This window comes from Homo sapiens, chromosome 5 (genome assembly GCF_000001405.40).
Source record: "Homo sapiens chromosome 5, GRCh38.p14 Primary Assembly".
NCBI lineage: Eukaryota > Metazoa > Chordata > Mammalia > Primates > Hominidae > Homo > Homo sapiens.
The window spans coordinates 35,615,489-35,630,946 of NC_000005.10; the positions used below are offsets into that span (position 1 = coordinate 35,615,489).

The window sequence follows — 15,458 nt, forward strand, 5'->3', positions numbered from 1 at the left end:
TATAGATTCGATTCAATTCCTATAAAAATACCAAGATCATTTTCACAGAAATAGAAAAAACAATCCTAAAATTCATATGGAACCAATAAAGAGTCCATATAGCCAAAGCAATCCTAAGCATAAAGAACAAGGCTGGAAACAGCACAGTATCTGACTTTAAAGTATATTACAAGGCTATAGTAATTAATACAGCATAAGCTGGAAACAGCACAATATCTGACTTCAAATTATATTACAAGGTTATAGTAATCAAAACTTCTTGGTAGTGGTATAAAAATAGACTCATAGACCAATGTAACAGAACAGAGAACCCAGAAATAAATCCACATATTTATAGCCAACTGATTTTCAACAGAGGCACCAAGAACTATGTTGAAAGAACCCTCTCTTCAATAAATGGTGCTGGATAAGTTGGCTATCCATATGCAGAAGAGTAGAGCTGAACAGTATTTCTCACCACATACACAAATATCAACTCAAGATGGATTAAAGACTTAAATGTTAGACCTAAACCTATAAAACTACTAGAAGAAAACATAGGGAAAACACTTCAGGACATTGGCCTAGGCAAAAATGTTATGAATAAGACCTCAAAAGCACAGACAACTAAAACAAAAATAGACAACTGGGGGCTATATTAAACTAAAAAGCTTCTGTACAATACATGAAACAATCAACGGAGTGAAGAGACAACCCATTGAATGGAAGAAAATATTTGCAAACTATTAATCTGACAAGGGACTCATATCCACAACATACAAGAAACTCAAACAACTCAACACTAAAAAAACAAACAATCCCACTAAAAAGTGTGCAAAGGACACGGATAGACATTTCTCAAAAGAAGAGGTACAAATGGCCAACAGGTATATGAAAAAATTCATCATCTCTAATTATCAAATGCATATCAAAACCACAATAAAATACCATCTTACCCCAGTTAGAATGGTTATTATTAAAAAGACAAAAAACAACAGATGCTGGAGAAGATGTGGAGAAAAGGGAACTCATACTGTTGGTGGGGATGTAAATTAGTATGACCACTATGGAAGGCAGTATGGAGGTTTCTCAAAAAACTAAAAACAGAACTGCCATAAAATCCAGCAGTTCCACTACAGTGTATCTATCCAAAGGAAAAGAAGTCAGTATATCAAAGGGATACCTGCACTCACATGTTTATCACAGAACTATTCAAAATAGCCAAGATATGGAATAAATCTAAGTGTCCATCAGCGAACAAATGGAAAAAGAAAGAATGGTATATATACATAACGGAATACCATTTGTCCATGGAAAAGAATGAAAACAGGTCATTTGCAGCAACATGGATGAACTGGAGGCCATTATGTTCAATGAAATAGGCCAGGCAACAGAAAGACAAATACTGCATGTTTTACTCATATGTGGTAGCTAAAAAAGTTGATCCCCTGGAGATAGAGAACAAAATTATGAGTACCAGAGACTGGAAAGGATGTGAGGGTGGGAAGGGGAAATGAAGAGAGGTTGGTGAATGGGTACAAACTTATAGTTAGATGGAAGAAATAGGGTCTAATGTTAGCTAGCAACTGGGGTGACTATAGTTAGCAATGATACATTGTATATTTCAAAATAGCTAGAAGAGAAGATTTGAAATGTTACCAACGTATATAAATGATAAATACTCAAGGTGATGGATACCCCAAATACCCTTCTTCTTTTTCTTCCTCTTCTTTTTTCTTCTTCTTCCTCTTCTTTGATCTCTCCTTGTTCTCCTCCTTCTCCTTGTTCTCCTTCTTCTCCTTCTCTTTCTTCTTTTCCTCCTGTTCTTCCTCTTCTCCTCCTCCTCTTCCTCTCCCTCTCCTTCTCCTTCTTGTTATTCTTTCTTCTTTCTTCTTCTTTTTTGAGACAGAGTCTCATTTTGTTGCCCAGGCTGGAGTGCAGTGGCTCGATCTCGGTTCACTGTAAACTCCGCCTCCTGGGTTGATCCTTCCACGTCAGCATCCTGAGCTGGTGGGACCACAGGCGCACGCCACCACGGCCGCCTAATTTCTTACAGAAAAAAAAACGGTTTCTGCTACCTTGCCCAGGCTGGTCTTGAACTCCCAGGCTCAGTCGAGCGCCACCCCCTCCACAAAGTGGTAGGATTATTTGCGTGAGCCACGGAGCCCTGCGGAGACTCTGGTTTTACTTTCTGCTCACCTAAGAAGCTCCTGCTGTGTCCCTAAGTGTTCCCGCCTCGCCTCTCCCCACACCCACTGCTCCCTAACTTCTCTCACAGGCCCCCAACGGCTTCCTCCTGCGCTGGCGCACGCTCAGGTCTTACCCGCCAGCAGGTGGCGAAACACGATTTTCTGTCCTCTGCGGCTGAGCCCTAGCGTCCCCTCTTCTCTAAGGCCTTTCGCCTAGTTCCAGCCTGGATACGCTTCCATAGCAAAGGGTTGCCCTTGGCTACAGGAGGACGCGGGCTGGCAGGCTTGGTTCCTGGCGAGTTTCTAAGCCCCCGCCTGCGGTCTGAGGCACCGGCTGAACCATGTCGGAGATCCTGTGCCAGTGGCTCAACAAGGAGTTGAAGGTGTCCCGGACCGTGAGTGAGTGACCACGGCCAGGGGCGAGCGTCTGAGGGGCTAGCGGGGCGCAGAGCCTGCAGCGCAGCGCAGCGCACTCAGGGAAGGTGGCGGGCAGGGCGCGAGCTGCACAGGTGGGGCACCTGCGTAGCCGGCAGCATCCCACAGTGAGCAACTCGGCTCGGCGGTGCCCCAGGTCCGTCCCGCCACCTCCCTACAGCTCACCCCAGCCAGGGCAAGGCCTTGTCACGTCCCCACTCTGCCGCTCTCGAGTTACCCTTGTCACGGTGGGCCCAACCCGCAGGCATTCTGACTTTGTGATGTGGTTCTAGGCAATCAGAGGGTTTAGGAAGGTCTCCTTTGCTTCTGTGGAGAGGGAACTTTGCTGGACTTTGTAGTCTGACCCCAACGATGCCTCCTTCACATCACCAGAAGCAGAAGCATGGTGTGGTGGCTAGTCGATGAAATATGAAGCCACTGGACAAGTTACAATACCTTCTCTGAATGTGTTTCCTTCTCTATAAAATGGACCTAATAATGCTTTCCATACTTAACTGACCAGCAGGGGAGGGTGGGTGAAAAATAAGTTAATGTAGAATATGTTAACATTTACAAATTTTAGTAAATTTTAAGCCCCAAATCACAAACTAGCTATTTCTGGTCACTATTGGCTCTTGCCCAAAGCTGACCTTATTCACCAACCTAATTTTATCCTAACCATGCAGTTGCCACCCAAAGTTTCCAAGTCTGACAACCACAGAGACAATTTTACATGCTGGCAGCTTCCTTGACTGCCCTGTAATTCTTCAGGAGTTCATTTTTCAGTTGGTTTTGTTTGTCTTTTTTTCTTTTTTTGCTTAAGGGAAGAGGTTTTCAGGGCAAGTCATTTCAGTCCATTTTCCCAGAAGAACTTGCTTAACACCAGCTTGCTACCAGAGAGGCAGTGGTGCCAGTTCAACCTTAGCTTATCTACAGAAGTTGCTAGATCGGTAGTGTTTCTGTGGGTGCAAAGTAGTTATTAATACTCTCAGCATGAGGATCTTTAGCACGGAGCATCTCCTGTTGCATTTCTTGAGGCATAAACCTCAGACTCTTTCTTTGTCAAATAACCATCTACACACTCCCTGTGAACTGCAATAAATTCTTTCCTGGTATTCTACGATTATCCCATTGTGTCTCCAACTGTTTATTTGCTAAAATATGATGGACTGAGGACAATATTTAGCATTTATTGTTTCTTATTCCTGTCTCACCATAGGAGCCAAAATAAAATATCATGCCCTTAAGTTGTACTCTTCTAAAAGAAAAGCAGTTACATATTGCTTAGTTTAATTTAGTTCATTTATTTTATTAGTAAAAACCACACCCGGGCCGGGTGCGGTGGCTCACGCCTGTAATGCCAGCCCTTTGGGAGGCCGAGGTGGGCAGATCATGAGGTCAGGAGTTCGAGACCAGCCTGGCCAACATAGTGAAATCCTGTCTCTACTAAAAATACATTAGCCGGACGTCGTGGCGGGTGCCTGTAGTCCCAGCTACTTGGGAGGCTGAGGCAGGAGAATCGCTTGAACCCAGGAGGCAGAGATTGCAGTGAGCCGAGATCGCGCCACTGCACTCCAGTCTGGGCAACACAGAAAGACTCTGTCTCAAAAAACAAACAAAAAACAAAACAAACAAACAAACAAAAAACACCCTTTGCTGAAGTCCCCAGGACTCTATTGCAACATTTTGAAATACTTTTAGGAGAAATAAATGAAATTAATAAAGATACATAAAATAAAAACAGTAGATGCCATTATAATTTTAATTAGTTTTGGGAATTTAGGTTTTGAGAGGTGGAGGATAAACATAAAAGGGCTGAAGACTAAGTAAGAATTTTAACAACATTTAGGCTATGGATAGAAAATTCCTGGCGTCTGTGCTCCTGAAGTGTAGATCTGGAAGCTAGCAGAGATGCCCCGTTCTAATGGAGTATTCTGCTTTCCATTCACTAGCAAAACGTATTAATTTTTTAATCTCAACTACTATAAGAGAGATAGAGCGAGAGAGTCCTTGAGGAGGTAACCAGATTCCACATTGTAAAAGGTCTTTGGGAACACACTTAACTGTGTTTGTAAGCCAACAAGCTAGGATTTGTGCACTCAAGGAAGCACATTTCCTGCTGCTGCTGCCCCATCATTAGATAAACTGTTGTGTGGTGCACAATGGAAGGCTTTGGATGGTTTGTAGAATCTATCATGGAAGGACTGTGAGTGGGTGCAACCTCTGGGGAAAGTAATCAGGCAATTTCTGGGTAAGGGAAGTGTAAAAAGCAAGAACTTGGAGGTTAGACTGCTTGGAAATCTTTTGGACAAGTTATTTACCTAAATTTCATCATACTTAAAAACAGCAATAATAATGATACCTCATCTGGTTGTATCAAGATTAAATGGGATATTAAATGTAAAGCATTTAAAATAGCACTTTGGACATAAATGCTAAATCCTACTTCTCAGCATCTATCAAATAAAAATAAAAGCACCAATATATAAGGATATTTGAACAAAGACGTTTATTGCTACATGAATTACAGGGGCAAAAATAAAAATTGGAAACAATCTGAGTATCCTTCAAAAGTGTAATGCTTGGATACATGGTGCTTTATTCATACTATGAATTGTTATGCAGTTATTACAAAGAATTAGTTAGCTGCTATAACTTTTGGCTTAAAGGATATTTATGTATTTTTGTCAAGTAAAAACCAAAAGTTAGAGCTTATTGTGACTAGTATAATTATATATTTGTACCAATTAGGAAACACACACTTATGAATATGGACATTTATATGAGCATGAAGAAAAGTATGGAAAGACATATACTGGACTATTGACTTACACATGAATTTTCATATTATGGTTTGCGTAAGTGTAGAGGAAATTGTGGAAGGATATAAACAAGTGTGTTATAGGGATTACCCTGGGGAAGTGGAAGATTGGTAGCTTTTCTTTATATATCTCTGTTATCTGGCTTGTTGTTTATATTGCCTTTGTAATTTGAAGGGAAAATTCAATATAGCATTAAAGATGAAAGATCAAAAGAAGCCAAACATCACATGACAAAATAGGAGAAAAAGAGGTTTAATACTTTAGTTGAAATATCGTAAGCATATTATAATAAAGTATTGTGGGAGCTTGTGGAAAAGTTATATGGAGTTCAAATGAAGTCTACAAATGAAAGAATAATAAATAATTAAAGTTATCACTTATTGAGCATTTATGTGGGTATACCATACCCTGTTCTAAGCCCTTTACATAGATTTTCTTATTTAATCTTAAAAACAACCCTAAGAGGTATTGCCCTGGATGTTCAGGTGAGTCAGGAGGAGAGGGCTTAGTAATTTGTTCAAGGTCTTACAGCTAGTAGGTCGTAGAGCTAGAATTTGAACTTATGCTTTTAGGTCCTATATTGTACATTAAAGTTTTAAACTTAGGCATGAATATATATGTTTAAGTAACTCTCAAATGTATTCACTTGAGCTCTTTTTATAAGGATTATTTTTCATTTGAAGTCACAAGAAATAGAAAAATTCAGCCATCTCGGCCTATTATAATATCATAGGGCATAACCTAATTCCTAGATGGTTAAGTGGCAAAATTGGGTGAATTATTGTTTGTTTAGAAGTGGCCCAGCCCATAGTTGCTTGTTGGGACAAAGAAACAGGAGAGAATGCCAAGCCTGTGCATTTGCTGCCTTATGGGGCTAAATAATGGTTCAGTTGTTGGAGGGGCAGTCAAAGCTAATATGTGCTGTGTTTTACTTTTTCTGATCTAGAGGTGTTTCATCTAGATAGCAGTGACAGGTGAAATTAGATTAGATTAGAGTCAGAATTCCTGCCCCTCTGGCCTACAGTACTTAGGGAAGCCACACTGTTCAATAGTATTTTCCAATGTTACTTCTACTACCAAAAGCTTCTGAAATTACAATAGTTGTGAATTATTCTACTGTTAAGGCATATTCCTATTTTAAATAAGGTTAATTAATATATTAGGATATATTAATCATTGCTTACATGATATATAAAAATTAAATAGATATATTTTTGTGAGTTTTAAGAGACAGTCTATGCTCCTTGTTAATTGGGTTTGGGTTTTTTCCAAGTGGGTTTCCATAAATGATTAATCTTTTCGTTTTATATTAAATCTTAGTAGCATTTGTTTTTGGAGAGTGATATTTTCTACTCTTTGTCCCAAAGTTGAGGGGTATCCTCTCATGCATTAATGACACTTTGTTGATTTGGTCTTTTGTCCTAATATTTTCAGAAGGATCATAGTTTATTTTAAGAAAACATAGAGATATAAAAAAATCCCATTGAATATTTATTTTTATGCAATAGTTCATAACGTATTGTGGTAACCTTACCATATTATGGAATCGTATAACTTTAGATCTGAAAAATAATCTTGGACATCATTTAATTCTTCTTTAGCAGATGAGGAAATCTAATCAGATGTGTTAAGAGCATTGTTTAGGATTATGCACCTAGGTAGTAGCAAGTTAGCAGGAGATTCTGGGCCTGCTGCCTTTTAGTTCTAGTCTTCTTTAAACCCGGAGTCTAAACCTTACACATTTTCTCATACTTAAACACTCAGAATCATTAGAAAATCTATTGCTTCTGACGTAAAGCAACAGATTTTGATATTTCCTGGCTAGCCTCGCAGCGTTTTTCTTGATTAAAACTTGGCTTTCATTGACTAAAAATTAATATAGCAAGTCTAGTAGCAGAAGGCTATTGTGTAAATCGAAGCAAAAATTTTAAGAAATGGAGCTTCAAGAAAAGACTGATGCTCAATATTTTCACAATTAAAGAGGGTTATAATATAGCAATTAAGATTTAGTTTCAGATAATAAATCTCAATTATGATAAAGCCTTCAAAGGATAAAATTGTGAAGACTGACAATCCTATTCTTTTACCAAAGGAAAGAAAACGTCAGTGTCCCCTGCCAAAGATCACAGGACACATCTGTAGTTGAACAAAGTTAGATTTATAGATTTGTTGTAACAAGGGAGAACATGAACCATGAGGACTGCAGGGCATCTCAGTAAGAGGGTGCTAGAAATGACTTGGACTTGTGTTAGGTGTTTTTGAGGAGGGTTCCAGGAAGTGGTGCCTTGCTGTGAAATTGGTTATGTTCAGCTGGAGAATGCCAAGGCGTAGCTGTGAGTACCCAGCCGGTTTCTAGGAACACCACAGCCTGATAGGGCCATGCTGGTTCCAAGCCTTCAGCAGGGTTTGTTTGTTTGTTTGTTTGTTTTTGTTTTTTATCTCAAATGAAAGTAAATTTTCTTGGCTTTTTAAATGTAGTTGATAGTGCAGGCTCGATCTTTCCTACTCGAGTAAAGGAGAAGTAAATGCCACTGAGCATAAAATGGTATGGGTCTGCAGTCCCTTACCTAAAAAATTCTAGAATCCAAAAATCTCTGAAAACTGCAACTTTGTACATTATTCATTTGGCAGCAAAATCTGACCAGAAATGCCATAAGGCTGTTTAGTCCTTATTTATTTCACTGGATGTGTCTATTTAAATATTTTGCTGTAGAAATAGACTGTGTTTAAGTACAGGTGCTTCCCCAGACCAGTGGGGGAGTTATAGCCTATCAGGCCTAAAGAGTGGACCTGTATATGAATGCCAGGAATTGCCAAATATTTGCTTTCTGAGTACTGAATTGTGTTTTAAACACGAATGTTTGTACTGTAATCATTAAAGATCTGTTATTTACAGTTTGTGTAATTAATATGACCTGTTTTCTTAAATTAGAACACAGTAATAATAACAATAAAAATAATCACTGAGCTTTTACTGGGGACCAGGCAGTATGCTAAGCATTTTACATATAAGATTTAATTCTCAAAACTACTCTTATAAGGTAGACCCCATCACTCTCTCATTTTTACAGATGAGAAACTATGGCTACATAGTTGCCCAAGGTGAAGCAGCTTGTAAATGAGCCACAAGTCTAACAGAGAATCTTTCTCCAGAACCTGTGCTCTCCTTATCACCATGTGGAATGTGGATGGCTTTCTGTGCTTCCTCCAGCTGGCTAAGGGCCATTTTGATGGAAAGGCACATAGATCATTTCACCTGCTGTCCCAGCCTAACATTATCACAGAGGCCTGCATCAAAGATTTATTAGAAAAGGAAACTTTAGTGATGGGGACCAGGCATGTGGCTTGGAAGATTAGAGGCAGGGCTGAGAAGATTAGAGGCAGGGTTGAGTTGCTGCTAAATAATTTTAATCCCAGATGTAAGTAATTTTGGGTTTAGGATGAAGATTGTCACTGGGCTCCCATGGTTTATTTACTTATCATATTCCTCCATTGTTCCTTGTTCTGGAGTCAACCTGCCTCTTTTTCCCCCTACAAAATTTCAATTGTTAGTGCAAATTAGTTTATAGAGGTGGGTGTCCTGAAATTAGTCATAGTATTCAGTGACATTTGTGGGAAGAAGAACATGACAAACCAAAGAGAAAAAAATAAGCTTTTTCTTGCCTTTTCTTTTTTCCTCACTGTTTCTCTCTCTCCCTATCACCTTTGTCCTCTCTCAATCTCTCTCTCTCTCTGGCTTCCTATATGTCTTCTTTTATTTTTTGAGACGGAGTCTTGCTCTGTCACCAGGCTGGAGTGCAGTGGCGCAATCTCAACTCACTGCAACCTCCGCCTCCTGGGTTCAAGCAATTCCCCTGCCTCAGCATCCCGAGTAGCTGGGGCTACAGGCATGTGCCACCATGCCCGGCTACTTTTTGTATTTTTAGTAGAGACAGGGTTTCATCATATTGGCTAGGCTGGTCTCGAACTCCTGACCTCGTGATCTGCCTGCCTCAGCCTCCCAAAGTGCTGAGATTACAGGCGTGAGCCACGGCATCCAGCCCTGTCTTCTTATTTTATACGTTTTAGTGTATCAGTCCTAGTGTATACACTTTTTCTTCAGCTTTTTCTTTCTTTGTCTAATTTCCTATATGTATTCTTTTTTCTTTTTCTTTTAATTTTTTTCTCCAAGTTTCCCCTTTATTGCTTTTATCATTTGCTGTATTCGTCACTCACTGTTCTAGTTTCTGCTGATGTGGTACATGGTAAATCTGAAGTGTCTTATGCATAAAAAGCTTCAGACAGATATTTTGATACTTACAGATTTTTTATAAACTACTCTGACAATGAAGTACATTAAGTGTTTACTATTGTTCTTTAACCTTTATACTATAAACACCTCTATTTTATCCATATCATAATTGCCTTATTAATATGCCATGCCATTTCAAAGGAAATGGGTAATGATTTTATTTTTCTGGTGACCTTTTTGTAGAAAATGGTTTGTTACAGACCGTTTGTCAGCCACACTGAAGATGAAGGAAACGGATTTAGTATTCCCCAGTTATTCCTGGGCTAGACTTTCAGCATTCAGTCAACGTGAACAACAGGCACAGTGCAAACCCCAGAGGGAGGCAGGAAGGGAAAGAGATTACCTGAAGGTAACATAGCAACAGCTCTTGAACAGAAAGCAATAAGCCAAAAATTGGGACAAGACCCTGATGGCGTAGGAATAGAAAGACACAGATACATCCATAGATGAATAATGGTTCTATGTCCAGTGGCTCTTTAGAAAACTAAGGGAAGAATAGGGATAGGCTAGGGAGGAGAGAAGGGAAGAGGCAGACAGAAGAAAGCAACAGACAGAAGAGGTGAAAGACACAGCTAGAGCACCCTGGGTGGCACATTGAGGGTCATGGTGGCAACGAGAGCTTTGGGGTCTGTAAGGGAAGGAGAAAGCTGCAGTGACACAGGAGGAGGTGGCACACTTTTGCCCATTGGAGCAGAAGGAACCCTTTGGATTTCAGTTGCTTTAAAGACTACTGAGGTATGAAGCCGGAAGACACTTGCTGAATGACAGATGACATTTAGTATAAGATCAAGCCAATCTTCATTTTAGTAGCATCGAAAGGCATTATGATATTCAAATGGTGTTGCGTTAAAGTCGGAAAAAATCAGTGCCTAGGTTATGAAGCTCAAGCTTAACTTGTGCTGTAAGGTGTTCCAGGCGGTACAATAGATCTAGCTGAGTTATAGAGCTCAGGTATGCCATGAATTTCAAATTCTCCTGCTGGAAGCTTTAGGACATACTCTTCTCTAAGTATATTTTCTCAAGAGTTGCTTCAGTGTTTCACATTAAGACATAGCTTCGGAAGGACAGATATGACTGATAGGAAGGGCATCAAACCATCAACTCTGAAAGAATGTATCATGGGTTTAGAGTGAGATCATTCTGCCCTGAATAGTTTTAAAATGATGATAAAACTGGTCTGTTTGTGGAAAAGCTTACTAAAATCCACTAATAGGTGCCAGACTGTGGACTTTAAGAATAGATGCAATGTGTCTGTTCTCACATGAACTATAGCTGAACACAAGGTTATGTGATTGGAAGCTTTCATTTTCCTAGGGCTTATAAAAGTTTCATTTCTTTACTTGTTGCTAAAGTGATCCATAGACAAAAAAAGCATTGCTTCCCCTTAATGTTTTTTACCTTTTATTTTTTCTATTGCATATAAAAATTATGTAACCATAATTAATAGATTCTAATTCTAGACAGTTCAAGAGCTCACCCTGAGTACATAGAATCAGTGGGAACCATTGACATCTTTTTAACTACCTTTATTATTGTATTGACTCAACTTAAGGATTGAGGTATTACTCTGAGTATAAAGGGTTTTGAGAACAGATATTAAGAAAGTCTTAGAGAAAACTGTGTTCTGGTATCAGACATGCAAAAAGTATTATGATAGGGTGTAATCTTTGGAGTGAGGACTGCACAGTGGCTGTTATGGAGCAACTTAGCTCAACTTCCTACAACCACACAACCAAGCATCGCTTCTACAAATCATGAAGAAATGTTATTTCTTCACTGTCAATTAGCCACCTCATTATTAGTCAGACAGGTAAAATAGAACAATCTGGCAAAACTGAATTTGTGATACTGCAATGACATATAATATTTTAACCGATGTTAAAATATTATATTTAATATAATATGTTATATTATATGTTAACCTGATGGAAGCAGGTTGAATATCTGTGGAGGATTTTGAAGTAATTTGAGAGATGATAGCTTTGGCCTATGATAATATAATTTATTTTGTATATAATCCTTAAATATCATGTAAGTCTATATATTTTACTTTATAAGAAAAATACAAGTAACTCAAAACTAAGAACATTTTTTAAAAAAGCAAATCCTATTGAACACTTAAAAATTTTTTTTCTCGGCTGGGCACGGTGGCTCATGCCTGTAATCCCAGCACTTTGGGAGGCCGAGTCAGGTGGATCATGAAGTCAAAAGATCGAGACCAACCTGGGCAACATGGTGAAACCCCCCTCTCTACTAAAAATACAAAAATTTGCTGGGTGTGGTGGCACACACCTGTAATCCCAGCTACTCGGGAGGCTGAGGCAGGAGAATCGCTTGAACCCAGGAGTCAGAGGTTGTAGATCAGGCCACTGCACTCAGAGGTTGTAGATTAGGCCACAGCCTAGGCGACACAGTGAGACTCCATCAAAAAATAAAATAAAATTCTGCACTTATCATTATGTGCCTACTATGTGGCAGGCATGGCACCCAGCAATTCTCAAACACTGCTGCAAAAGAGAGCTATTAATATTAAATAGCTCTCTGATATAAGATATAGATATGGTTATCTTTGTTCTAGACATGAGGCTGAAACTCAGGAAGATGAAGCAGCTTGCCCAACGTCACACAGCTAGTAAGGGGCAGAGCCAAGATTCCAGCACAGGTATCTCTGGCTCTAAAGTCAGTTTTCCCCTGGGCTATCTCTCAGTAATTGCATAGGACAATAACTGGGCCATAGTGTCCCCTCTGAACCATGAAGGAGAAGTTCGATTATGTTCAGGAGGTTTTATTTAAGAAGGTGCAAATGGCTTTAGTAAACTTTCCATTGTTTTGCAGGTTAAAATGAGGTATTTGTTTAAAAGAAGTTAGCTTTCATCTCACTTGGCCAAAATATGCTGTCATCATAGGTTGTGTGAGTAACTAAAGTATTAGAGTATGATTTTATAAAATATCTTTAAGGCTAGTTTTTAGATCTAATGTTATTTATAAATTTTTTGGTAGCATTTTAAAAAAAAATTTTATCTGTTGTCTTTTCCTTCAAAATTTTGTATTTCATCAATTATTGATTTATATTTATTTGGGAATCTTTATAAAATATCTACTGTTAAATGTCAACCTTTTCCTTTGGTTATTAAAAGATGTTTCTAGAAATATATTCATGGCATTTTGAGTTCCAGTTAAATTGTGTAGTTTTTAGTGTATGTATATTTAAAGAGATCATTAGCTCTATGCGCAACATTGTATTCATGGTTTTTATCTCAATGTTTTGAAACTCAGGTCCCAAGTCATTTGCAAAGGCATTTTCCAGTGGCTATCTACTTGGAGAAGTTCTACACAAGTTTGAACTTCAGGATGATTTTTCAGAATTTTTGGACAGCAGGTTAGTGAGATTATTCCTTTTTGTTGTTGTTGTTGTTTATTTGTTTTGAGACAAGGTCTTGTTCTGTTACTGAGACTGGAGTGCAGTAGCGTGATCATAGCTCACAGCAACCTCAAACTCCTGGGATAAAGCAATCCTCTTGCCTCGGCTTCCCAAATAGGTGGGACTACAGGTGCATGCCACCACGCCTGGCTAATTTTTGTATTTTTGGTGTAGACGGGGTTTTTCCCTGTTGCCCAGGCTGGTCTTGAACTCCTGGGCTCAAGAGATCCTCCTGCCTCAGCCTTCCAAAGTGTTGAGATTACATGTGTGCACCCCCGCTTCTGGACTACTCTTTACTTTTAAGAAAAGTTCATTTCTTTGGCATTTTCCAAAGTTAACTTCAAAGAATCATGAATCATAAGATCCCTTCCAAACCTTGAACACCCAAGCAGACCATTGATATGGAAATTGTTCCTTTCTTGCACATACATTTTTTATTGTCTCAAGAGTACAAAGGAGAGATTGTTATATGGTTGCAGCAAGACCTCATCTCTAAATGGGACTTATTTACACCAGATTACTTTCTGTTTTGTTAATCGATTGTTCCTTTTTTTTTTTTTTTTTTTTTTTTTTGAGACTTGCTCTGTTGCCCAGGTTGGAGTGCAGTGGTGTGATCTCGGCTCACTGCAAGCTCCGCCTCCCGCATTCACACCATTCTCCTGCCTCAGCCTCCCGAGTAGCTGGGACTACAGGCGCCTGCCACCAGCCTGGCTAATTTTTTTTCTATTTTTTTTAGTAGAGACGAGGTTTCACCGTGTTAGCCAGGATGGTCTCGATCTCCTGACCTCGTGATCCACTTGTCTCAGCCTCCTAAAGTGCTGGGATTACAGGTGTGAGCCACCGCGCCCGGCCTGTTCCTTCTTTTAAGAGAAGAAGTGAAACAACATATAGTGCTTTGGGTGGACAATTAGTATGATTATTTGTGTTTTAAAAATATAAAATAGAACTTAACTACTAATAAAAAATTCATAATGGTTTTTGTTTTTAGTGGCTATATTGAAATATAATTTATGTACCACAATTCACCATTTTAAAGCACACCATTCAGTGCTTCTTAATATATTCACATATTTAGTATCTTCACAACCATCGCCACCATCTAAACACCCAGCATCTGGCACCTACTAATCTACTTTTCTGTCTCTATGGATTTGCCTATTCTACACATTTTATATCAATGGAATCACACAATTTGTGACATTTTGTGACTGGCTTCTTCACTTAGGATAATGTTTGCAAGGTTCACCCATGTTAGCAAGTATCAGTATTTCTTCATTTCTATTTATTTTCTCAATAATTTCGATTATATGGATATACCATACCACATTTTGTTTATCTATTTATCAATTGATGGTTACAATCCTCTGTTGGTATTCTTGGGGTATTGGTTCCTGGACCCTCTACAGATATCAAAACCCAATAGGGCAGTCATTAAACTTTAAAGTTCCAAAATCATCTCCTTTGACTCCATGTCTCACATCCAGGGCACAGTGATGCAAGAAGTGAGCTCCCATGGCCTTGGACAGCTCCGTCCCTGTGGCTTTCAGGGTACAACCCCCCTCCTGGCTGCATTCACAGGCTGGTGTTGAGTGTATGTGGCTTTTCCAGGTGCATGGTGCAAGCTGTCGGTGGATCTACCATTCTGGTTTCTGGAGGACGGTTGCCCTCTTCTCATAGCTCCACTAGGTAGTTCCCCACTAGAGACTCTGTGTGAGGGTTCTGACCCCACATTTCCCTTCTGCACTGCCCTAGCAGAGGTTCTCCATGAGGGCTCCATGCCTGCAGCAAACTTCTTGAATGCTTTGCTGCTTAGAAATTTCTTCCACCACAGCCTGTAATCCCAGCACTTTGGGAGGCTGAGGCGGGTGGATCACAAGGTCAGGAGATCGAAATCATCCTGGCTAACACGGTGAAACCCCGTCTCTACTAAAAATACAAAAAATTAGCCGGGCATGGTGGCGGGCGTCTGTAGTCCCAGCTACTCGTGAGGCTGAGGCAGGAGAATGGCATGAACCCGGGAGGCGGAGCTTGCAGTGAGCCGAGATTGGGCCACTGCACTCCAGCCTGGGCAGCAGAGCGAGACTCCGTCTCAAAAAAAGAAAAAAAAAGAAATTTCTTCCACCAGAAACCCTAAATCGTCTCTCTCTCAGGTTCAAAGTTCCACAGATCTCTAGGGCAGGCGTAAAATGCCACCAGTCTTTTTGCTAAAGCATAGCAAAATCACCTTTATTCCAGTTCCAAACAAGTTCCTCATCTCTGTGTGGCTATTAGAATATATAAGTAACACTTATAACTCAATAGTAAAAAGACAATCCAATTTAACAATAGGCAAAGGATCTGAA

At 39.5% G+C, this 15,458-nt stretch overlaps 1 protein-coding gene across 19 annotated transcripts in view, besides 1 other annotated feature; it reads left to right on the forward strand.

Moving 5' to 3' along the window:
* Window positions 2,375-15,458, forward strand: part of SPEF2 (sperm flagellar 2) — a 196,749-nt gene continuing 183,665 nt past the window's right edge. For all 19 annotated transcript variants that reach the window (XR_925655.3, XM_011514136.4, NM_024867.4 and 16 more), the window contains exons 1-2: window positions 2,375-2,567; window positions 12,972-13,074. Coding sequence is in view for 18 of the 19 variants with exons in the window: in XM_011514136.4 (XP_011512438.1) it covers window positions 2,510-2,567; window positions 12,972-13,074 (161 nt within the window). In the remaining variant the exon portion in view is untranslated. The remainder of the gene's footprint in view (window positions 2,568-12,971; window positions 13,075-15,458) is intronic.
* Window positions 2,418-3,225: an enhancer, noted in NCBI's record as "H3K4me1 hESC enhancer chr5:35618008-35618815 (GRCh37/hg19 assembly coordinates)". NCBI's record gives its function as "activates a minimal SCP1, AML or CMV promoter by ChIP-STARR-seq in primed H9 embryonic stem cells {active_cell/tissue: H9 hESC(primed)}" and the evidence as "EXISTENCE:reporter gene assay evidence [ECO:0000049][PMID:30033119]".